The 25,797-nt window shown below is 43.3% G+C and overlaps 1 protein-coding gene and 3 pseudogenes across 6 annotated transcripts in view; 1 reads left to right on the forward strand and 3 right to left on the reverse strand.

Moving 5' to 3' along the window:
• AGAP4 (ArfGAP with GTPase domain, ankyrin repeat and PH domain 4) overlaps nt 1–5,338 on the reverse strand; it is a 29,097-nt gene extending 23,759 nt beyond the window's left edge. For all 3 annotated transcript variants that reach the window (NR_171664.1, NM_001393377.1, NM_001393378.1), the window contains exon 1: nt 4,303–5,338. The gene's annotated coding sequence lies outside the window, so the exon portion shown is untranslated. The remainder of the gene's footprint in view (nt 1–4,302) is intronic.
• The window catches only part of PARGP1-AGAP4 (PARGP1-AGAP4 readthrough), a 146,781-nt pseudogene that overhangs the window by 23,759 nt on the left and 97,225 nt on the right, over nt 1–25,797 (reverse strand). For both annotated transcript variants that reach the window (NR_160518.1, NR_160519.1), the window contains exons 8-10: nt 13,634–13,762; nt 5,451–5,543; nt 4,303–5,278 (exon numbers count right to left, since the gene is read on the reverse strand). The product of NR_160518.1 is annotated as a PARGP1-AGAP4 readthrough, transcript variant 1 (transcript). The remainder of the gene's footprint in view (nt 1–4,302; nt 5,279–5,450; nt 5,544–13,633; nt 13,763–25,797) is intronic.
• Nucleotides 5,483–25,797, reverse strand: part of PARGP1 (PARG pseudogene 1) — a 117,594-nt pseudogene continuing 97,279 nt past the window's right edge. Inside the window, exons 12-13 of the transcript NR_029388.2 lie at nt 13,634–13,762; nt 5,483–5,543 (exon numbers count right to left, since the gene is read on the reverse strand). The product of NR_029388.2 is annotated as a PARG pseudogene 1 (transcript). The remainder of the gene's footprint in view (nt 5,544–13,633; nt 13,763–25,797) is intronic.
• Nucleotides 6,955–7,070, forward strand: RNA5SP310 (RNA, 5S ribosomal pseudogene 310; annotated as a pseudogene).

The raw sequence follows: 25,797 nt of genomic DNA on the forward strand, positions 1-25,797 counted from the left end.
GGATTATGGGGATTATAATTCATGATGAGATTTGGGTGGGGGCATGGCAAAACCATATCAGAAAGTAAAGGTAGAAGTCAAGCTTGGATGGGAAATGACATTGTAGATGATGATGATGATGATTATTATTATTATTATTATTATTATTTTGAGATGAAGTTTTGCTCTTGTTGCCCAGTGAAATTGTTTCTCTAATTTCATTTTCAGATTGTGTCTTGTAGATGTATAGAAATACAATTGATAAATGATTCTGGCTATTAACCTTTTATGCTTCAACCTTGCTGAACACTATTTTTTTTTTTTTTGAGACGGAGTTTCTCTCTTGTTGCCCAGGCAGGAGTGCAATGGCATGATCTTGGCTCACTGCAACCTCCGCCTCCTGGGCTCAAGCGATTCTCCTGCCTCAGCCTCCCAAGTAGTTGGGATTGCAGGCATGCGCCACCATGCCCAGCTAATTTTGTATTTTTAGTAGAGACGGGGTTTCTGCACGTTGGTCAGGCCCGCCTCAGCCTCCCAAAGTGCTAGGACTACAGGCATGAGCCACCGTGCCCAGCCAGATTCGTATATTTTTAAAAGAATTTTTTTTTTATTTTTTTTGAGACAGAGTCTCACTCTGTTGCCCAGGCAGTGGCACAATCGTTGCTCACTGCAACCTCCACCTCCTGGGTCCAGGTGATTCTCATTCAAGTGCCTAAGCCTCCCAAGTAGCTGGGATTACAGGAGCCCAACCCCATGCTCAGCTAATGTTTGTATTTTAGTAGAGATGGGGTTTCACCATGTTGCTCAGGTTGATCTCGAACTCCTGACCTCAGGTGATCCACCTGCCTTGGCCTCCCAAAGTGCTGGGATTGCAGGCGTGAGCCACCACTCCCGAACAGAACAACATTTTTTTGATGTGGATTTTAAAATGCCTCCCCTTCTTTCAACATTGATTAAGTCCCTTCTACATGCCAGGCACTGTATGTGTGAAATAGTCCCAACTCTCAATGAGTGTAGGCAGATACACAAACAAAGCCTTAAGGAGGTCAGTTTTCTGAGACCATACTGCTGGACAGTATATGAACCTGGGATACAAACCCACCTCTATTTGACCTCAAATTTGATGCTGGGGTGGTTTTAATTTTATTCTGGGAATTTCAGTCATTGAACCATGAAAAGGTGAAAAGTCTCTGTCAGATGTGTGTGTAGTGGTCTGTATAATAAGGACTGAAGGAAGCAACCAAACAAATTAAGAGACTTTCTCTAAAGGCAGAGTAATGCTAAGGGCAGTGGCAGTGACAAAAGCGGAGGAAAAAGTCTGTGATCATTTGGGAGACAGAATAGGAAGTGCTTGGTCATGAGATGTGAAAGAAGAGGGGAAGTAGAAGGAAAACAGAGCTGCTCAGGCTCTGCTGGGGAAGACTGGGTATGTAGCAGTGCCTTCCTCCTGGCCAAGAATGTAGGAAGAGAAATAGGTAAGGAGGAAAAGACAGTTTTTTACTCTCAGTGTCACATTAAAATGGAACTCTCTGGTCAAAAGTTGAATATAAATCTCTGTAGGCTAAGTCCATTTGTGACATCCCAACATATGTTTTCAAAAATAACATACATACTAAATCAAGCCATTAAGCGTAACTGGGGAAATTTCCTAAAATTTACATGCTAAAAAATCACCATTTTTCATTTATTAGTTTCATGGAGCAACTTTGAATCTATGGTTACAGCAATTGAGGCACCTTGTATAAAATAAAGCTAATACATGAAAAAAAAAAGCCATTTAAAATTCTGTTGTTCTCAGAGAATGGAGAAAGCAATTGAAGCCATGGGTGTGGAGGTGACTGCCCTGAGAAGCTGTGTATAGTAAGGAGAACTGGGAAGAAAGAAGACCTGGAGAATAGGGTGATTTGCACGGCATTAAGTGAAGCTTGCAAAAGTGAGCACTGAGACTCAAGAGACCTGCATATGAATCAGGAATGGCTGCTCCTGTGAGTTGTTAGAAAGGAGATGATGCCTTCTTTTCATATCTATAACAGCAGCACCTAGCACAGTGCCTGTTCAATAGGTACTCAACATGTATTATCCCAATGCAGAGTCAAATTTTGCCAGGAGGGCAGGAAAGCCACAAATTAGCTATGGCAACTTAGTGATTGGGCTTGTGTGTGTGTGTGTGAGCGAGCTGGATGTCAGGCAGTGGGTAAAGTAGTGAACTGGAGGTGAGAAAACAATGACACAAACTCAGGGCTTCTCTTCCCAAGTATTTGGCTGAGAAGAGAGATGTAGTATTAAAGGGAGATATGTGGTAAAGGAAGACTTTTATTCCAAGATTCAACAAAAGCGTGAGTATACTTCTATGTTAAAGGGAAAGAGCCAACAGAGAAAACACATTTTTGAGGTTAGAAGAGAAGGAAGAACTAATGCAGAAGGGCCCCAAAAGGCACAGGTGCCTGCAATCTGGATCAGGGACAGATTAGCTTTGGACTCCTACAAAAGCAAGAAGGGAGAAAGGACCATGTGACTCTAGAGATATTTCTGGTAAAGGAAAGGTTTAGGAAAAGATCTTTTGATGACCTTTATTTTAACAGACTTTTTTTTTCTTTTTGAGATGGAGTCTTGCTCTGTCACCCAGGCTGGAGTGCAGTGGCACGATCTCGGCTCACTGCAACCTCTGCCTCCTGGGTTCATGCCATTCTCCTGCCTCAGCCTCCTGATTAGCTGGGACTACAGGCACCCGTTACCATGTCCAGCTAATTTTTTGTATTTTTAGTAGAGACGGGGTTTCAACGTGTTAGGCAGGATGGTCTCCGTCTCTTGACTTCGTGATCTGCCCGCCTCGGCCTCCCACAGTCTGGGATTACAGGCGTGAGCCACTGCACCCGGCCAGACTTTAAAAAAAAAAAAAAAAAAAAAAAAAACTACTGTGGGAAAAAGGATATTATGTATAGAAAAGTCTACACTTCTTGATACAACTAACTAAAAAAAGCCTGATACACTAAACAAAACCCAAATAATGTCTTCCCTAAAAGTGGGTAACTTGAAAAGCAATTTGAGCAAAAATCAAGGAGTTCAATTATAAATAAGTATATCAACAAAGTGAAAGATGGGTTTAATTTTTCCCACAAAAAGTTAAAAGAAATAACAGCAGGTTTAGAGGAAGAGGAAAAAATAATAAGAAAATTATATGCAGTTGCAAAATGTGTGACTATTTACAAACTCTAACATATAACTACAAAATGGACCAGAAGAATCATTATCATAGGAAGCAAAGGGTCATTTCAAAAATCAGAGGAGGGATGATTCATATTTAATTTAATTCTGTGGAAAAAATTTAAGTAATGTTTGAGGACAAAAATAGGTGATGTGTTGAAATGCGGGAAACCACAGTGGAAGGAAAAATAATTCAAGAAAGCTCAGTTTCAGTAACCAGTATCTAGTAAAATCTTCAGGACCTAGAGGCTACAATCTGCATTAATAGTGTCTGAAGACCTAGAAATGTCATTAAATACCATTTTGGATAATTCTTGTAGACTTGAGATGATGTCTATTTAAAGTTACAAAATAGTGCCCATATTTCTGTATTCATTACAGAAAACAATTGGATATGGAAAAGAAACTAACATGCTATGCCACAATCTCTAAAGAAAGATTAGGGAAGTTTCAGCTTAAAGCAAGAATAATCACAATAAAGTTTTACAACCCTTTGCAAGCATATATGAAAAACTTACAAAAAGTCTGTAATGATCTTTTCTTAAGCTAAGAGAACAGAAAAAATGAGAAAAATTAAATTATAAAATGAAACTTTGGTTTAGAGGTAAGAAACATTTGATGACAGTCAAGAGATCAGGGTTGTACAGTGTATTATGTGAATGTTGTGACTCATTGGTTTCATCTTGGATATCATAACTTGACATTTTGTAAAAGTGATTTTTCATGGGAGTTTCTTCAGGTGCCCTATGAAGTCCTGTCCCTTTAGAAGCGAATAATAGTCTTCCACATTCTTGAGATATCTTAATGAATAACATCTTCTACAGTCTTCCATTGTTTAGACCTTGGAGAGACACGCATTAGTGACTGTTAAGGTACCTGGGTTATTAGGTGCCTGTAGACTATGCCCAGTGATATGTGCATTAGGTACATGCTCCCTAGCTGTGCTGACACTGACTGAAGCTGTGAGGTTTCACAATGACATGTCAGCCAAATACATATGCTCAGATTTACCATTTATCAAGAGGTCTTCACACTATCAATTGTGCAATTATCATTCTACACACAGGCAGCGATAAAGGGAGTAAAAAAACACAGCCATGGATCGGGAGACCAAGGTACCTCCAGAGGAGTCCAGTGGGTCCAGAAGCCCTTTGGATGTTGGTCAGAAGCTCCTCTTGGGCAGAGATCACAGCAGCAGCCAACAGGTCTGGAGAAGACCTTACAGTTCTCATGGACAAAGTTTGTGAAGGCATCTTAGACAAGATCTTGTCTTTGCTGGTTTTATGATCCTCTGCAGATGGGTCTATTCTCATTACCTCAGCCACCTTTCACTTCCTATCAGTTCAGTTCAGGTCTCTCATGATCCCAGGCAGCAGTAGTTGTTATCACGTAAGTTCATTCATATATGTTTATCTCTGGGGATGGGGGGACAACTTCACTGTGGACTTAATTCTACTGGAGATGAGTGACCCCATTTTAAGACAACAGGATCACAAATTATTATCACATATCAGCAGGGCAGACAATAGCTACGACCTGGGGCTGAAAGCAGGTAACTCTATTTATTCTGCAAAAATTCTGTCTTGATTATGGTGCCAGTTGCTGTGAGGGATTTCCTTTCTAGAACCTGTTTTTCACAAGGTTTGAGTCTGAACTGTTAACATTCTACTGATTTCTGGGTGAAGGGACTGACTGCACCATCCTAGCCTGTCAGAGCACTTGCCCCAATACTTCCACTTTAAGAGTTTTCCACCTTGTCCAGAACTACAGTCCACTAATCCCCTCATTTTCTCTCTTAAGAGAATAAACAGGCCAGGTGCGGTGGCTCACGCCTGTAATCCCAGCACTTTGGGAGGCTGAGGCGGGTGGATCATCTGAGGTCAGGAGTTCGAGACCAACTTCGCCTACGTAGTAAAACCTCGTCTCTACTAAAAAAAAAATCACAAAAATTAGCCGGGCGTGGTGGCAGGCACCTGTAATCCCAGCTACTCGGGAGGCTGAGGCAGGAGAATCCCTTGAACCTGGGAGGCAGAGGTTGCAGTGAGCCAAGACTGTGCCACAGAACTCCAGCATGGGCGACAGAGTGAGACTCCCTCTCAAAAAAAAAAAAAAAAAAAAAAAAAGAGAGAAAAAGAGAGAGACAGAGAATAAACAACCCATGTCAAGTACACACCCACATCCCTCTTATCCCAAATACCAAACACACAAAAATCCAATCTGTCTCCTTCTACCTAAGCAATTGCAGATAGTCACATTCCCATAATTACCTTAAGCTCCCTGACTTGCTGCTCGTCCTTTCTCTGGCAAAATCTCATCCTTGGATGAGCCCGACTTTGTGTTTGCTCAATGACACCACTCACCTGAACCAGAAAAAATATCAAAAAGTGGTCAGAGATATCATCATAAATTCAAATTACTTACATAAAAAATTGGCCCTAAATGTTTCCAGAAATCAATAAAAGTTTTGTTTCTCCAAAGACATCATTTCTTCAGAAACCCAACGTGTATAACCTATTTTTTCTATGTTCTTCTAACATTCATTCAACTTCTCTCATCTGATATCTTGCCAAATCATTCAAAGAGAAAATATATCCCATTAGTCAAGAGCCAACCATATTCCCATCACCTGAGAAAATCATATGCACAGGATGCGCCCACCTCACCTTTCTCTGCCTCATGTCAGAAAAAGTACCCCTCCTTTTGTCACAAGGCAAACCTGAGATAAAAGATTTAGATGGCCTGTAATTCCAGCACTAAGGGAGGCCAATGCATGCAGATTATTTGAGTCTAAAAAAGAAGCCTAAGCAACTTAGGGAAACTGCATCTCTCAAACAAATACAAACCATTAGCCTAGCATGGTGGTGTGGTGGCACATGCCTGTAGTCCCAGCTACTCAGGGTGGGGAGCACTGAGGTGGGAGGATCACCTGAGCTGGAAGGTTGTGGCTGCAGTGAGCCGTGATCACGTCACTGCACTCCAGCCAGGGTAACAGATATTTTTTAAAGGATCTTCTCTGTTAAAAATAATCAAATAAACAGGTGGCCATGAGGCTGAGGTGGCTGCAGTGCACTCAATTCCTCCTTAAATAACCCAAAACTTGACTCAGTGTAAATAATAAAAGGAAACTTAAGTTTAACCAGTCAGAAACCACCAACTAACATCTAACTAGAGACCTTCCACTGTAATGTTCCAAATGAGGCCACTGCTCCACTTCACCCAATCAAGTATTTTCTTTTTCTTCCACATTCACCATATAAAATTCTTCCCCCACCCTCCCTAAGCCTCTCTGTGGGACCTCTGAGCTGCTTGCAGTCTGGGGCTGCCTAGTTTATACATTTCTGAATGCTCAAATATATTTTCTAATGTTTCAAAGTGGCTCTGGTGTAGGAGGTTGTTGGTGGAGTGACCCGAGAGTATACAGGAATTGAGGCCATATGAGATCTCTGGACCCTGTACTCCATTTTGCTGTACACTCAATACTACTCTAAAATAATAATATATCTTTAAAAATCTATAACTATCACGTAGCCCTTTTCAAGTCTCCAACTGGTTGGAGCCAGTTCGATTAAAGCTCAGAAAAAACTGGTTAATAAGCTAGTTCTGACCCAACTGGCAAGAAGCGGCAGGAAAGACCCAGGCCAGGGGAGCATATTGCACATGCATGCACCAGGAAACTGGAGGAAGCTTGGAGGCCCTTTAGCCTGGTCCTGAGCCCGCTGAAACTGCAGTTACAGGCACAGATGCCTGGGGCACCAATCTGAATCTGCCAACATCCAAGGCCACATGAACACAAATGCACAGTCTCCTCTGCGATCGGTAGCTAAGGATGTTAGGCCATGATTGGACTAGGATGGGAGATGAACTGAGAACTCTGGATTCTGTAGGTTGTTGTTGTCTCTTCCCACCCCCAAGCAACAAGTGATGAACACACACACACACACACACACACACACACACACACACACATCCCGTAGTGACTAACAGGATCTCCCTCCAGGGGATTTGCAGGAAGGGGAGCAGAAAACATCCCAGGGGCCTTTCACAGCTACTTCCTTGAGCCCCCTTTCAGACAGTGCTGTCTAGACCTGTCTCAGCCCAAGCATCACCACCCTGATACGCAGAAGCTGGCATCCTTACCTGAAATTCAACATCAAGAAATGATCTCTTCTACTCAACACTGATAGAAATACCTCTAAGCAACGTCCTCATTGGCAGGGGTGGAGTGGGGGAGTTTCTTAAAAAGTGAGGCCTCTGCCTACCACCTAGAGAACCTGGAAATTTCCATCTGTGCCACAAAGTCCAAATCACTGGCCACTGCCCCAGTGTATGGCAGATTAGAACATCTCTCCATTGGATCTGGGTTTCTATTCCATTGAGTGAAATGCCTTTTCTACTACAGGAACAGAATAAGGGATCAAAAGGGTCTTACAACTGAACTCCAGTGTACAGTCTGCACAGACACTAGGCTTGTGCAAATATGACACAGCGAGGCCCCAGGACCCTTAAGCCAGCTGAATGTACTGAGTTTCAGGAAACAGTGAGATACATTCAGCAAAACAGTGGGCTTCATGCTGAAAGAAGTCAATCCAAGTAAACACACATCTCACACACACACACACACACACACACACACGCACGCACGCACGCAGACACCCTAGTGGCCAATAGGTCCTCTCACCAAAAACCTGCGATCAGGAGAGCAGAAAGCCTCCCAGGGCTCCACCACTGCCCTTTCTGTAGCCCCTTATCAGACGGCCAGCCTCAGGACAGCACTGTCTGATCCTGGTCCAGCCCAAACCGCCATCACCCTGTGATGTGGGAGCAGGCCACTTCACCAGAACCTCTGTGGCAGAAAAATTTCTTTCTTTTAAAATGATGAGGGGGAACCTTCAGACAGTGTCCTGATTAGGGTGGGTGGAGAGGGGGGTTTCCCAGAAAGTCAGGCAGGGCAGGGCAGAAGCCCTCTGGGTTAACTGTGTGCTTTTGATATGAAGGCAGGTAAGACTGGACAGGTGGGGGTGTTAGTGAGGGGATGGTGTAGGGTGCTGAAGAACTCCACTTGGGCTCTGCGCACCAGGGAAAATGACCACAAAACATCCCATCTTCACTGCTCAGAGAAGGCTAGATCTGCTGTGAGCTAGGAAGCCATGTGGGGGCAGCTGATGAGTCATCAAATGGGAGAAATCTGAGAGCCATGTGTTCCACAGGCCTCTGGTCCTTGTTCAGGCAGCAGGGCACTGTGAGATGTGGCTCCTTGGCCCTTTCCAGCCACCACCTTGATTGCCTGCTGCAAGGAAAGAGACTGAAGCCCAAGAATGGGGTCTTGCTCACCATAGGATGATGGCTCAGTGTGCAGAGCTGAGCTATGGCCCAAGAGGCAAAAGGTGGGGATGACCCAGGCTGAGCTGGGGGATCCAACTGAACATGCACTTGCTAAGAAGCTGTGGGCTATGATGCCTTGGGACCCCAGTCTGGGTCGAGAATTGTAGCAAAACAGGCTACTGGTAAAAGTTCTTGGGAAGCCAACTCACTTTTGCTTTCATCCGTGGGCAAACAAACCTCTGATCAACCACACCACAATGGTGTCACTCTGTAAGGCACAGGCAGACAAGGCATCCAGCCTTGCACACTCCAGGGCCCACACATGTCCAGAATACAATGGTTCTTGTTGAGACTCCACTCTTCCAACTCAGACAGAAGCTCCCCAATCTCCTCAGCCACTCCCAACAACTGGAGGTCTGAAAACTTTCATGCATGCCGCTATGGTCTAAACCACTCGTGGTGGTTTTGATTTTCATTTTCCTGATAATCAGTGATGCTGAGCACCTTTCCATATGCCTTTTCACCAACTGGATATCTTCTGTGGCTAAATGTCTATTGAAATCCATTGCCCATTTACAAATCTGCTTTTTTGTGGGCTTCTTGATGTTTTTCTTTTTTTTTTTCCTATTTATTTATACAAGTTCCTTAGATATTTTGGATATTTTTAAAAATGATTTTCAATTCCATTGCCCAGTTATAAATCTTTTTTTTTTTTTTTTTTTTTTTTGAGACAGAGTTTTGCTGTTGTTGTCCAGGCTAGAGTGCAATGGTGCAATCTTGGTTCACAGCAACCTCCACCTCCCAAAGTCAAGCAATTCTCCTGCCTCAGCCTCCTGAGTAGCTGGGATTACAGGCATGTGCCACCATGCCCGGCTAATTTTTGCATTTTTAGTAGAGGCAGGGTTTCTCCATGTTGGTCAGGCTGGTCTTGAACTCCCGGTCTCAGGTGATCTGTCCACCTTGGCCTCCCAAAGTGCTGGGATTACAGGCATGAGCCACTGTGCCCGGCCAATTATCCCTTTTTGTGGTTTTTTTTTGGGGGGGGTGGGGGGAAGAACAGAGTCTCGCTCTGTCACCCAGTCTGGAGTGCACTGGTGTGATCTCGGCTCACTGCAGCCTCCGCCTCCCAGATTCCAGCAATTCTCCTGACTCAGTTTCCCGGGTAGCTAAGATTACGGGCGCGCAACACATGCCCAGCTAATTTTTGTATTTTTAGTAGAGACGGGGTTTCACCATGTTGGCCAGGCTGGTCTCAAACTCCTGACCTCAGGTGATCCACCCACCTCCCAAAGTGTTGGGATTACAGGCGGGAGCCACCACTCCCGGCCCCATTTTGTGTTTTAACATCAGTCGACACTCGTATTTTAAAATAATAACAATGAATGGCGGTACCTTAGAACAAGGTAATTATACATCTTTCTCTTGTCCTAGTGCAGACATTTTGTCTATAAAATGTTATTCACAGATGAATTCATGAAAACATTACTGTGAATTTTAAATCCATATACAAGTGTATGCTTGTTCATGAATACTTCAATAAAATAAAACTAATAGCAAAAAAGAATTCCAGAGTTGAAGCAGTTTCAGGAAAAAGGAGTTGGCAGTATGAAGTAAAATAGAAAAAAATGGGTTTTTTTTTAAATGGGTATATTTGTGTCTACAACTTTTTTTTAATTATAGCATTAGACAATGTGTATATATATATACATATATAAAGCAATGGAAGTGGCATTGTTTTCATACTAGTCTAGGATATTAAAATATATGTAATATGTGATTGGCAAAATAATGGCCCCCCAAAGATGTCCACAGATTCCTAGAACCTTACATGAAAACGGTACATCATGCATGTGATTCAGGTAAAGACCTTGACATGAGGAGACTACCCTGGTGCTATGGAATGAACGTTGTGTTCCGTCAATGTTCATGTGTTAAAATCCTAACCCTCAAGGTGATGGTATTAGGAGGTTAAGCCTTACGGGAGACTCTGCCCTCATGACTGGGATTAGCACCTTATTACAGGCACAAGGGAGCTTGTTTGTTCCTCTCACCATGCGAAGACACAGCAAGAAGGAAGCCTCTATGAGAAAGCAGGCCTTCACCAGACACCAAGACTGCCGGCACCTTGATCTTGCATTTCTCAGCCTCCAGGACTGTGAGAAACGAAGTTCTGTTATTTATAAGCTACCTGGTCTAATGCATTTCCTTGTAGCAGCCTGTATGGATTAGGACAGTGGGCTCATGTGGATGATGACGGTGTGTCCATTCAGGACTAAGTAAGCACATGAGTCCTTAACAGTGGAAGAGAAGGGGGAAGGAAAGAGCCACAGAGACATGTGGCCACAGAAGAAGGGTCCATGGGATGCAAGGTTGCTAATGGTGAGAGTGGAGAAGAGCCCAAAGCCAAAAAATGCAGGCAGACTCCAGAATGTGGAAAAGGCGAGAAAAAAGATCCCCTAGAGCCTCTAGAGATGAAGGTAGCCTTTCCACCACCTAGATTTTAGCCCAGTGAGATCCACATCATACTCTGACATACAGGAGTGTAATAAATTTGTTTTATGCCCTGACATAGTGGTAGTTTGTTGTAGCAGCAATGGACTAGTAATATATAAATATATATATACACACACACACACAAACACTACCCCCCCACCACACACACACACACACACACACACACACACACACACACACACACATAACTATATATATCCTACCCTTCAAAATTGAAGCAGATAAACTACACATTAGCATTAACTTAGCTGGGTGTAGTGGATCATGCCTGTAGTCCCAGCTACTCAGGAGGCTGAGAGGGAGGATCATGTGAGCCCAGGAGTTTAAGATCAGCCTGGGCAAACACACTGAGGCCACATTTCAAAAACAAACAAACAAACAAAACACAACAAATCTTTGATTAAGCTCATTTCCCAAATTTGAAGAGGAGACAATTATTAGATAAAGAGGAGAAAAGAGAAAGGTAGAGCTGCTGACTTTTGTGGCGGAAGCAGAGGCACAGGCCCAAACATACTCCTTTCCTCCTGGCTTTCCTGTCCCTTCTCATAAGGGACACATGAACCTCTCAAACTGAACCATGGATCACAGACCCATACTCAGAACTCAATACAGTTTTGTTCTATGATTTTTTACATGTCTGTGTCCTTGCTTCTGCCTCCCATTCCCAACTCCCTTACTCTAGTTAGAAAAAAATGGCTATTACCAAATATGAGTACATCCTCATATACTAATGCCAACTGATCATCACCTGGTTTTCTTCTTTTACAAAGTCATAAATCTTTAGACTTTAACACATCTTCCAAGCAATAGAATGTTATTTTCCAGTCCATTAACACAAATTCTATATTTAAAATGAAGACTTCACAAGTTGATTTAAATAACATATTAACCAACATAGACTGGCCATGGTTCAAACTGACATTTTAATTAAATGTGATGATAGGTTGAGTAACCTAGCAGTACTCTAAAATGACTTTTGGTTATGGCTTTTTCCATATTATGTTTAGGCTGAGGCATCCCTAAATGATTCAACTGTAATTCCTCTTCTTAAACATGAGATTTATCTTTACAAAATAATTTATTTTCTTAAAATTACAAGTTAATTCTATAGTTCATGCATACATAATCTCAGCAGATATCAGCTGTATGTGTACACACATACATATAGGTATTTGTATATACACACATTACATAATTTTTTTAAAAACTTATTAGTAGGGTAGAACCACGAAGACAAAGAGGCTTTGTGTAATGTGATGGAAACACATTTGCAGGACGAACAACAGGCTGCTGTGAGGGCTGCATTTACCCTTTCTACTGTAAGACTTGGAAAAACATGGATAGTGGATATTTAATCCGCATAACAGAAATTTCAGGGTGCAGAAAACTTCCCACAATTTTTACAGACAATGTCAACAGACAGGCATTCAATGCAGGGAATACACAGTGTGACAGTATACAAAAATAAGCAGGTTGATGGTTTAGATTTATGAGACAAGAGAAAGAAATAGATGATGCCATAATTCTCCTTTTATGGAGTTATGAAAATTGTTCATTTTATATAAGGTCAGGTGCTTTCAAATGTCAATGAGAAAAATATTTAAAGGAAGAATCAAATCTAAGACGTGGAGAGATCTTTATAAAAATGACCTTCAGGCCAGGCACGGTGGCTCACACCTGTAATCCCAACACTTTGGGAGGCCAAGGTGGGTGGATCACAAGGTCGGGGGATCGAGACCATCCTGGCCAACATGGTAAAACCCCGTCTCTACTAAAACACAAAAAATTAGCCGGGAGTGGTGGTGTGTGCCTGTAGTCCCAGCTACTTGGGAGGCTGAGGCAGGAGAACTGCTTGAACCCGGGAGGCAGAGGTTGCAGTGAGCTGAGAGCACCACTGCACTCCAGCCTGGCAACAGAGCAAGACTCCATCTCAAAAAAAAAAGAAAAGAAAAAAAATTACCTTCATTCTGAGAAGGTATAATCATCAACACATTCTTGAGCAAAACTACGCACATACACACTTCCAAATTCACAAACCATGCTTGTGCACACACTGATGTCTCTAGATTCCTTTTTTGAAGAGATGGCAACTTGGTGTGTCACCCAGGCTGGAGAGCAGTGTTAGGATCATAGCTCACTGCAGCCTCAAACTACTGGGGTCACGTGATCCTCCTACATCAGGCTCCTCAGTAGCCTGAACTATAGGAATGAGCCACTATGCCCAGCCAATGTTTTCATTTTTTTGTAGAGATGAAATCTTGCTATATTGCCCAGGCTGGTCTTGAACTCCTGGCCCCAAGGAATCCTCCTGCCTTGCCCTCCAAACGTGCTGAGATTACAGGTGTGAACCATTGTGCCCAGCAACTGTATTCTTTATTAAGAAGAAAATTTGTTTGCTGACATGTAGGCAATGAATTGATAAGTAATAGTTCAGAAATTACTAATTTACAAGTCAATATAAATGAGGTGAGTAAACACAAAAATAACAGCATAAATAAACAGTTCATGACTTCACGTTTCTTTTTCTCCTTTAAAATGTAGCTCTGACAGAGACTACTACTTGTCCATTCCATGGAAAAGTCAGAGGTGGTTAAAATGTCAGAGGTACACTTACTAATACTTTGATGCCTTTTGTGTAGCTTCTTCTCAGTACTTCACCAGCTGGGATTGACACACCTCTACAGGTGGGTTCAGGAGCCAGACAGCAGCACACAGAATGGGGAATCCAAAGCCATCTCTGACACTAAAAGCAATGAAAACAAAAATAACCAAACATATTATCAAGAAATGAACAAGAGATTGATATCAAGTAAAGCAAGAAGAGAAGAAAGCATTTAATCTGCCAGGCTTTCATTCTGACAAAATAATTTACAACATGCATGTCTCTATCTGACATGAGTGAATAGAAAAAGAACCCAAATACCCAGTTGAATTGCAAGATGAAAATGAAAAAGAACTCTTGCTTATTCGCCAGGGTACAATCTAATCTGGGCTACTAAAACACTTTCATGCACTGATTCTATGTAACACATGCTTTATTGCCATTTGGAAATGGGATTTCTTGCTTTGATTTAAATATACTTCCTTGGATTTCTGCTTTAAGTATACTTTCTTAAACATATTCACAGCTACATTCTCAGTACAAATTTTCAGGTGTAAGTAACTACTTCTGCTTTTGATAGTATAATTGGTGAAATAAGCTATACTTCCATGTAAATGTGAGAGTACAAGGTAAGATTCCAGAGTCAAGTAAAACATAACAGTCAAGAAAATAAAAAGGTGAGAGTAACTGGGCAGTGGGGAAATCTTGTGTGTGGAAAGAATGAATCTGTAAAACTGTTCTTTCCTAAGAGAGTTCAGCAGGATTTGGATGATAGAGAGCTTTGTGTACAAGGGTTCCAGTTCCACATAGTTTAGGTCTAATTTCAAAGGCAACTTCTAGTGCAACCTGTGACTCACGCTGTCCTAAAGTGCCAAATGTAAAGGGTCTGGAGATAACCCACAAGCAGCACTGTGAACCCCTGACAGCAAGCCTTTCCAGATAAATACCTGTCAGTGTCTATAGCTGATGACAGAGCAGAATATCTGAAAAATAATACTTCTTCGGCCAATGGACTGCCAGTCACTATTATTTAGTGTAAAATACTATATTACATATGTGTAATTTTTTAAATTGCAGTGTTTCACATCGAAGCAACTAAATATAAAAACCAAATGTTTATTCAGCTTAAAGGCAACTTAGAAATACTGATCCCAGATAGAAAGATGCTTTAGTCCCAAGTCAGCTGTTCTAAAATGCCACAACTAAACCAACGAAGGGATCTTGAAGCATAGTAAGTGTTCATACCTTTTCAGCTATACCTCTGCTTGTCTTGAATATAAAAACCTAAGCTGCAGTTATGCCACAGCACAGAATGTGTTATATTTTACATCACTGAGCCTTAGTTTTACAAATGGTAAAAAAATAGGGAAGGTAAACTGAGGTTTTCTTAAGGAGCTGTTACATCCAAGAGACTCGTGAAAATCTTTGCCAAATGTCCCCGGTACATAGCTCCTCCCCACTGATGGGCTCAACGGGGAGAAGCTATGCACATGTCTCAATCTGCATATGCTCAATGGCAATACAGGATTCCTAGGATAAAGTAAGGGATATAAATGACACAGCACACTGAAAAGACTGTAATGTTACTTCAGAATGTTGCAAAATAAAGATTACAGATGAAAGTTTTAGTTCACTGAAGCATGTAGTCATGTATATTTCATTTGTGTGTTTTAAAGTCTTATACTGCTTACATTCTCTTTTTTTGTTTGTTTTAAAATAATTATATTTGGCTACAAAGATCAATAACAAGGATGATGTCAGTCCAGGTTGGACAGGCAGTTCTGGGGCAGATGTTCTTGCAGTATTTTTTTTTTTTTTTTTTTTTTTTTAGTATTTATTGATCATTCTTGGGTGTTTCTTGGAGAAGGGGATTTGGCAGGGTCATAGGACAATAGTGGAGGGAAGGTCAGCAGATAAACATGTGAACAAGGGTCTCTGGTTTTCCTAGGCAGAGGACCCTGCGGCCTTCCGCAGTTTTTGTGTCCCTGGGTACTTGAGATTAGGGAGCGGTGATGACTCTCAAGGAGCAGGCTGCCTTCAAGCATCTGTTTAACAAAGCACATCTTGCACGCTCTTAATCCATTTAACCCTGAGTGGACACAGCACATGTTTCAGAGAGCACCGGGTTGGGGGTAAGGTCATAGATCAACAGCATCCCAAGGCAGAAGAATTTTTCTTAGTACAGAAAGAAATGGAGTCTCCTATGTCTACTTCCCTCCACACAGACACAGCAACAATCCGATTTCTCTATCTTTTCCCCACATTTCCCCCTTTTCTATTCAACAAAACCGCCATCGTCATCATGGCCCATTCTCAATGAGCTGTTGGGTACACCTCCCAGACGGGGTGGCGGCCGGGCAGAGGGGCTCCTCACTTCCCAGAAGGGGTGGCTGGGCAGAGGCGCCCCCCACCGCCCAGACGGGGCGGCAGCCGGGCGGAGGCGCCCCCCACCTCCCTCCCGGACGGGGTGGCTGGCGGGGCAGGGGCTGCCCCCCACCTCCCTCCCGGACGGGGCAGCTGGCCAGGCGGGGGCTGCCCCCCCACCTCCCGGACGGGGCGGCTGTCTTGCGGAGACGCTCCTCACTTCCTGGACGGGGCGGCTGCCGGGCGGAGGGGCTCCTCACTTCTCAGAGGGGGCAGCTGCTGGGCGGCGGGGCTCCTCACTTCTCAGACAGGGCAGCTGCCGGGCGGAGGGGCTCCTCACTTCTCAAGACACGGCGGCTGGGCAGAGACGCTCCTCACCTCCCAGACGGGGTCGCGGCCAGGCAGAGGCGCTCCTCACATCCCAGACGGGGCGGCGGGGCAGAGGTGCTCCCCTCACCTCAGACGATGGGTGGCCGGGCCAAGACGCTCCTCACTTCCTAGACGGGATGGCAGCCGGGAAAAGGCGCTCCTCACTTCCCAGACTGGGCAGCCCGGGCAGAGGGGCTCCTCACATCCCAGACGATGGGCGGCCAGGCAGAGACGCTCCTCACTTCCCAGACGGGGTGGCAGCCGGGCAGAGGCTGCAATCTCGGCACTTTGGGAGGCCAAGGCAGGCGGCTGGGAGGTGGAGGTTGTAGCTAGCCGAGATCACGCCACTGCACTCCAGCCTGGGCAACATTGAGCACTGAGTGAACGAGACTCCATCTGCAATCCCGGCACCTCGGGAGGCCGAGGCTGGCAGATCACTCGCGGTTAGGAGCTGGAGACCAGCCCGGCCAACACGGCGAAACCCCGTCTCCACCAAAAAAATACAAAAACCAGTCAGGCGTGGCGGCGCGCACCTGCAATCGCAGGCACTCGGCAGGCTGAGGCAGGAGAATCAGGCAGGGAGGGTGCAGTGAGCCGAGATGGCAGCAGTACAGTCCAGCTTCGGCTCGGCATCAGAGGGAGACCATGGAAAGAGAGGGAGAGGGAGACCGTGGGGAGAGGGAGAGGGAGACCGTGGGGAGAGGGAGAGTGAGAGGGAGAGCCAGAATTTCCTTTTTACAGGCAGAATAATATTCTATGTATATACCACATTTTTCTTTTTTTGAGACAGGGTCACCTAGGCTGGAGTGCAGTGGCATGATCACGGCTCACTGCAGCCTTGACCTCCCCAAGCTCAAGTGATCTTCCCACCTCAGCCTCGGGAGTAGCATGTACCACCATGCTTAGCTCATTTTTTGTATTTTTAGTAGCTATGTTGTCCAGGCTAGTCTCCAACTCCTGGGCTCAAGCAATCTGCCCATTTGCCTGCATTGGCCTCTTAGAATCTATCTTTTTTTTTTTTTTTTTTTCTCACTCTGTCGCCCAGGCTAGAGTGCAGTGGCACAATGAAGGCACACTGCAGCTTTGACCTCCTGGGCTCAGGTGATTCTCCCATCTCAGCCTTCCCAGTAAGTGGGACTACAGGTGCCCACCACCAAGACTGGCTAATTTTTTGTATAGACAGGGTTTCACCATATTGCCCTTACACTCCTGGACTCAATCTGCCCACACTGGCTTCCCAAAGTGCTGGGATTATAGACATGAGCTACCACACCCAGCCTGTATGGCTGTTGTGAATAATATGCTGTTATGAACATGGGCACACTAAACACCATTCAACTTAAAAAAATAATCAAAGCCTTAAGAACTGAACCAAAATGGCTTAGGTGAAAATAAAATACCAAACTCTGCTCTAAGAAAAGGAAAGAGCATTCACTGAATTATACCTTCAGCAATAAGCACTTAATGGAACTTGTTTCATTTAAAATGCACCACAATCCTGTAAATTGATAATCATACCGCAATTTTATAGATGAGCAAGGTATTAGGCGGACCTTTTTCAAAAGGTCATACAGCTAGTGACAAATATTTCCAAATTTTTCATAACATTTCTTTTTTTGAGACGGAGTCTTGCTCTGTGGCCCAGGCTGGAGTGCAGTGGTGCAATCTCGGCTCACTGCAAGCCTTGCCTCCCAGGTTCACGCCATTCTCCTGTCTCAGCCTCCCTAGTAGCTGGGACTACAGGCACCCACCACCATGCCCGGATAATGTTTTTGTATTTTCAGTAGAGACGGGGTTTCACTGTGTTAGCCAGGATGGTCTCAATCTCCTGACATTGTGATCCTCCCGCCTTGGCCTCCCAAAGTGCTGGGATTACAGACGTGAGCCACTGTGCCAGGCCTAACATTTCTGTTTTAAATAGCTTAATTAACTACACATGTTCTATATTCTTGCCTCTGAAAGGCAGCTTTTTTTGTTGGGTTGGTTTATTATGCATCAGACACTTGATTTGCTGAGGAATTCTGTTTTTCAGTAATTCATCCACCACAAATATCACGTAGCATTTTGACTCCACAGACCTAAGAGTCTTAAGTCTTAAAAGGATTGTAAAATCTAAGTTTTTCTGAGATATCTGAGAGTAAGAGGCTTTTTTCTATTGAAAATAGGTTGCATTTCAAACTTTATCTGTAAGAGCTCACAACACTTTCTCCAACATGCATGCCCATGTGATCACTTAAACAGAACTCTGAGTGAGACAGTAAATACCTCATATGCCCTTGAAAATTTTACCTTGGCATAGAAAAACCTTGTTAAGAACCTAAAAATAATTTCACTTTGAAAGTCTTTAGGGTTAGACAAATGTTAAACTTCAATTGGCAGTACAAGGGCAGCACTCAAGCCAGCAAGAGTTTTGTTGGGCCAAATTATGTTGAAAAAGATCAAATATTTTAAAAACAGGAGATTTCACATAAAAATCTGGGATTCCAGCTTCTTCTGAATAAATGAGGTACACTAATTATGCAGAGTGGCAAATGGCTGGAGTTGAGTGGGAGGTGTTTCTAGCCCAACAGATAGGCATGGAAGCTCCAGCTCAGCCCCCTCCACTCCATTTTCTTACACAAGGGAAGCCACTATGGTATAGCATCTAACTTAAGGCATATTATATGTATTCTTAAGACAGAGGAAAAGGCTGAATATTTGATATTGTCAAAAGAAATGAGAGTCTAACTTTCTGTGGCAAGGACCTTCTTGCAGTAGTCACATAACATAGTCTGGAACACCTCCAACATAAATTATGAAAAGAAAGCTCTTGGCTCAGAAGAGAAAAAGCAAAAAAGAATACTCATTAATTCTATGTCACAGGACAAATAGATTTCAATTTCCATTGCAATTGTAGAAGAGGTAAATAATCTGCTGACCCAGAATTCCAACAGGGACTCACACTTCCTGTCTTAATAACTCGAAACACTGAAATCACTCTAACAAAGGCAAATCAATGTCTTATTAATTTCTGGTTAAAAAATAGACCCAAGAAGACAGGGCACAGACATAAATTTTGTGTGGTGGGAATACGAATATAACTTCAACGTCCAGATTCATGGATTTGGAAATGACCTTGGGCACTCTAAGTATAGCACCACTGAAGTTTACATTTAGGGAATGGCTAATCCCTGCTGATCTAAACTATTTCCAATCCCCAATGTACTCTTTAAATACAGAAATTTAAAAAAAGAGGGGGCCGGGCGCGGTGGTTCACACCTGTAATCCCAATACTTGGGAGGCCAAGGCAGGGTGGATCGCTTGAGCTCAGGAGTTTGAGACTAGCCTGGGCACCATGGTGAAACCCCGTCTCTACAAAAAACACAAAAAAATTAGCCAGGCATGGTGGCGTGTGCCTGTAGTCCTAGCATCTTGGGAGGCTGAGATGGGAGCATCACTTGAACCCAGGAAGCAGAGGTGGCAGTGAGCCATGATCACACCACTGTACTCTAGTCTGAGACCCTGTCAAAAAAAAAGGAAGGGCTCAACATAGTAGGTACAGAGCTATTTTAATAGAAAGATCATGAGGGAAAAACTAGCAGCTGTCAGATAGAGAGTAATTTATTTTATTCATTTATTTATTTTTATTTTTATTTTTTTGAGACAGAGTTTCGCTCAGCTGCCCAGGCTGGAGTGCAGTGGCGCGATCTTGCCTCATGGCAACCACCATCTCCTGGGTTCAAGCGATTCTCCTCTCTCAGCCTCCCAAGTAGCTGGGATTACAGGCACCCGCTATCATGCCCAGCTAGTTTTTGTATTTTAGTAGAGATGGGGTTTCATCATGTTGGCCAGGCTGGTCTTGAACTCCTGACCTCAGGTGATCCACCTGCCTCGGCCTCCCAAAGTGCTAGGATTACAGGTGTGAGCCACCACACCCAGCATTTCATATTTCATTTCTTTCATTTCAAGATGGAAACTCACTCTATCACCCCGGCTGGAGTATGCCACTGCACCTGACATTTCATTATTCATTTCATTTCATTATTTCATTTCTTCATTTCATTGCACCCAGCATTTCATTATTCATTTCATTATTTCATTTCTTCATTTAGTTTCATTTCATTTCGAGATGGAAACTCGCTCAATCGCCCAGGCTGGAGTGCACCACCACACCCGGCATTTCATTATTCATTTACTTCATTTCATTTCGAGACAAGAGACTTGCTCTATTGCCCAAGCTGGAGTGCGCCACCGCACCTGGCATTTCATTATTCATTTCATCATTTCATTTTATTTCATTTAGAGATGAAGACTCACTCTACCGCGCAAGCTGGAGTGCACCACCACACCCAGCATTTCATTATTCATTTCATTATTTCATTTCATCATGTCATGTCATGTCATGTCATGCCATGTCATTTCATTTCGAGACAGAGACTCGCTCTATCACCCAGGCTGGAGTGCGCCACTGCATCTGGCATTTCATTATTCATTTATTTCATTTCATTTCACCCAGCATTTCATTATTCATTTCATCATTTCATTTCATTTCGTTTCATTTCCAGATGAAGACTTGCTCTATTGCCCAGGCTGGAGTGCGCCACCGCACCCGGCATTTCATTATTCCATTTTATCATTTAGTTTCATTTATTTCATTTCATATTTCATCTCATTTCATTTCATTTCGATGGAGACTCGCTCCATTACCCAGGCTGGAGTGCGCCACCACACCCAGCATTTCATTATTCATTTCATTTCACCCGGCATTTCGTATTTCATTTCATCATTTCATTTCTCACTTCATTTCATTTCATTTGTTTCATTTCATTTCGAGACAGAGACTCGCTCTATCGCCCAGTCTGGAGTGCGCCACCACACCCAGCATTTCATTATTCATTTCATTTCACCCGGCATTTCGTATTTCATTTCATCATTTCATTTCTCACTTCATTTCATTTCATTTGTTTCATTTCATTTCGAGACAGAGACTCGCTCTATCGCCCAGTCTGGAGTGCACCACCACACCCGGCATTTCATTATTATTTCATTTTTTCATTTCATCTATTTCATTTCATTTTTCAATTTCATGACGTAGACTCGCTCTAACACCCAGGCTGGAGTGCACCCAGCATTTCATTATTCATTTCATATTTCATTTCCCATTTCATTTCATGACAGAGACTCACTCTATCACCCAGGCTGGAGTGCGCCACCCACATTTCATTATTAATTTCATTATTTCATTTCATCATGTCATGTCATTTCATTCTGAGATGGAGACTCGTTCTATTGCCCAGGCTGGAGTGCAGTGGTGTGATCTCTGCTCCCCGCAACCTCTACCTCCTGGGTACAAGCGATTCTCCTCTCTCAGCCTCCCGAGTAGCTGGGATTACAGGCACCCGCTATAATGCCCGGCTACTTTTTGTATTTTAGTAGAGACAGGGTTTCACCATGTTGGCCAGGCTGATCTTGAACTCCTGACCTCAAGTGATCCGCCCACCTAGGCCTCCCAAAGTGCTAGGATTACAAGCGTGAGCCACTGCACCCAGCATTTCATATTCCATTTCATATTTATTTCATCATTTCATCTCCTTCATTTCATTTCAAAACGGAGTCTCACTCTATCACCCAGGCTGGAGTGCATCACCACACCCAGCATTTCATTATTCATTTCATTTCATTATTTCTTCATTTCATTTCATTTCACCTGGCATTTCATTATTCATTATTTCATTTCTTCATTTCATTTCATCCCATTTGAGATAGAGACTCGCTCTATCACCCAGGCTGGAGTGTGCCACTGCACCTGGCATTTCATTATTCATTGCATTATTTCATCATTTCATTTATTTCATTTTTTCATTTCATTTCATTTCACCCGGCATTTCATTATTCATTTCATTATTTCATTTCATCATTTCATTTCATTTCATTTTGAGACGGAGACTCCCTCTATTGCCCAGGCTGGAGTGCGCCACTGCACCCAGAATTTCATTATTCATTTCATTATTTCATTTCATCATTTCATTTGATCATTTCATTTCATTTCAAGACAGAGACTCGCTCTATCACCCAGGCTGGACTGCGCCACCACACCTGGCATTTCATTATTCATTTCACCCAGCATTTCATATTTCATCTCATCATTTCTCATTTCATTTATTTCATTTCATTTCAAGACGGAGACGCGCTCTATCACCCAGGCTGGAGTGCGCCACCACACCTGGCATTTCATATTTCTTCATTTCATTTATTCCATTCCCATATTCCCATTCCCATTCAATTTCAATCCATTTCATGACAGAGACTTGCTGCATTGCCCAGGCTGGAGTGCACCACACGCATTTCATTATTCATTTCATTATTTCATTTCACCATGTCATGTCATGTCATGTCATGTCATTTCGAGCCAGAGGCTTGTTCTAACACCCAGGCTGGAGTGCAGTGGCGCAATCCCTGCTCACTGCAACCTCTGCCTCCTGGGTTCAAGCGATTCTCCTCTCTCAGCCTCCCAAGTAGCTGGGATTACAGGCACCCGCTATCATGCCTGGCTAGTTTTTGTATTTTAGTAGAGATGGGGTTTCATCATGTTGGCCAGGCTGGTCTTGAACTCCTGACCTCAGGTGATCCACCGTCCTCAGCCTCCCAAAGTGCTAGGATTACAGGCGTGAGCCACCGCACCCAGTATTTCGTATTTCATTTCATTTCATATTTAATTTTGTTTCATTATTTCATCATTTCATTTCAAGACGGAGTCTCACTCTATCACTCAAGCTGGAGTGCATCACCGCACCCAGAATTTTATTATTCATTTCAATATTTCATTTATTTCTTCATTTCATTTCATTTCATTTCACCCGGCATTTCATTGTTCATTATTTCATTTCATCCCATTTCATCTCATGTCATCTCATTTCATTTCGAGACGGAGACTTGCTCTATTGCCCAGGCTGGAGTGCACCACTGCACCTGGCATTTCATTATTCATTTCATCATTTCATTTCATTTCACCTGGCAATTCATTATTCATTTTATTATTTCATTTCATTTATTTCATTTATTCTCTTCATTTCATTCCATTTCATTTCGAGACAGAGACTTGCTCTATTGCCCAGGCTGGAGTGTGCCACCACACCCGGCATTTCATTATTCATTTCATCATGTTATGTCATGTCACGTCATTTCATTCTGAGACAGACTCGCTCTATCGCCCAGGCTGGAATTCAGTGGCGCGATCTCTGCTCACTGCAACCTGAGGTCGGGAGTTCGAGATCAGCCTGACCAACATGGAGAAACCCCGTCTCTACTAAAAATACACAAAATTAGCCGGGCATCGTGGTGCATGCCTGTAATTCCAGCTACTGGGGAGGCTGAGGCAGGAGAATCGCTTGAACTCAGGAGGCAGAGGTTGCTGTGAGCCAAGATCATGCCATTGTACTCCAGTCTGGCCAACGAGAGTGAAACTCTGTCTCAAAAAAAAAAAAAAAGTGATGGTAGATGCTCACACTGGCAAACGTTAGCAAGTACTAGAAGGGTCATTTGGCAGTAGTCATTCACGTTTTAAGCATGCAGATAATTTGCTCAAATAACTTAATTTTTAGCAATTTATCCTACAACTAAAATGTATGTGCAAAACTGTATGTACGACAGTGTTTAAGAGAAGGCCTCAAAGAAAAGGTGGTATCTGAACAAAGATGGACAGATGATGCAGCATTTGAGGTAGGTATCTGGAAGGATTGTTCTAGGAAATGGTAACAGCAAGAATAAAGGCCCTGAAGTGGGAGTTAAAAGACAATGGGAATAGGAGTAGAATCTGGAGTCATCAAAGTGGCAAGGGAGCAAATTACAGAGAAGATAGAGCCACTTTAAAGAATCTGGCTTGGCCCGGCCTGGTGGTTCACGCCTGTAATCCCAGCACTTTGGGAGGCTGAGGTGGGCAGATCATGAGGTCAGGGGATCGAGAACATCCTGGCCAACATGGTGAAACCCCGACTCTACTAAAAATACAAAAATTAGCTGGGCGTGGTGGCGGGCATCTGTAATCCCAGCTACTTGGGAAGCTGAGGCAGGAGAATCGCTTGAACCCAGGAGGTGGAGGTTGCAGTGAGCCAAGATTGTGCCACTGCACTGCAGCCTGGCGACAGAGCAAAACTCCGTTTAAAAAAAAAAAAAAAAAAAAGCAAAAAAAAAAGCTTAATTGGATTTTGATTGCTACCTTCTAAATATCAGCACTTTCATTTAATCATAAGCCTCAAAGGGTTTATAAAACTTCTAAAGAGTTAAGTTTCATAATTCTCCTAACGAGAGTCTACACATACTGAGATGTTAATGCAGGGTTTAGAAACTGTCAAAAACTTTCATAAGACCCTCAAAGAGATCTAGGACAATTCCTCCCACCCACAGAAAAGCAATCACCCAAACAACTGAGAATCAGTGGCAAAAAAACTCTCCTAAAAGGACACAGTACTATGGGGAGTCAAAAACAATTCAGACAGCTGGGCACAGTGGCTCATGCCTGTAATCCAGTAACTCAGGAGGCTGAGGTGGGAGGATTGCTTGAGGCCAGCCTGGGTAACATAGCAAGACCCCATTGCTAAACAAAAAAAGAAACAATGAAAAAAATTAGCTGGGTGTGGTGGCATGCACCTGTAGTCTGAACCACTGGGCAGGCTGAGGTGAGAGGATCCTTTGAGCCCAGGAGTTCAAGGCTGTAGTGAGCCATGATGGCACCATTGCACTTTAGCCTGGGTGACAGAGCAAGACCCCAACTCAAAAAAAAAAAAAAAAAAAAACAAGGGAAACATTTTAGTGAGTTTAGTCTTGCCTGGAAGAGACAAGTAAGGGACAGATGGGGGCAGTGGTGAGGGAGCCCAGGACAGCTAGCTGCTATGCTATTCAAAGTCACATATATTGCTTCCACAATATAACAAAACAGAGAAAGAAACCACCAAACAGCAAACCGTCTTCTAGTGATCCCATCATTTTTTTTTCTTTTTTTTTTTTTTTTTTTTTTTGAGACAGAGTTTCACTCTTATTGCCCAGGCTAGAGTGCAGTGGCGTGATCTTGCCTCACCGCAACCTCCACCTCCCAGGTTCAAGCAATTCTCCTGCCTCAGCCTCCCGAGTAGCTGGGATTTCAGGCATGTGCCACCACACCTGGCTAATTTTGTATTTTTAGTGGAGACCGGATTTCTCTATGTTGGTCAGGCTGGTCTCGAACTCCTGACCTCAGGGGATCCACCCGCCTCAGCCTCCCAAAAATGCTGGGATTACAGGCGTGAGCCACCGTGCCCAGCTGACCCAATCATCTTTCACTTCAACCTTTTCCTCACCATCTCTTCAACTAATACTTTTCCTGGACCATTTTGACTTTAGGCTTCTACCTCCAATCTATTTTATCTACCCACTACTTCTAACTTAATCTTCCTCAGAGATAATTCTAATACTCTGTCCAAAAACCTTTG

This window comes from Homo sapiens, chromosome 10 (genome assembly GCF_000001405.40).
Source record: "Homo sapiens chromosome 10, GRCh38.p14 Primary Assembly".
NCBI lineage: Eukaryota > Metazoa > Chordata > Mammalia > Primates > Hominidae > Homo > Homo sapiens.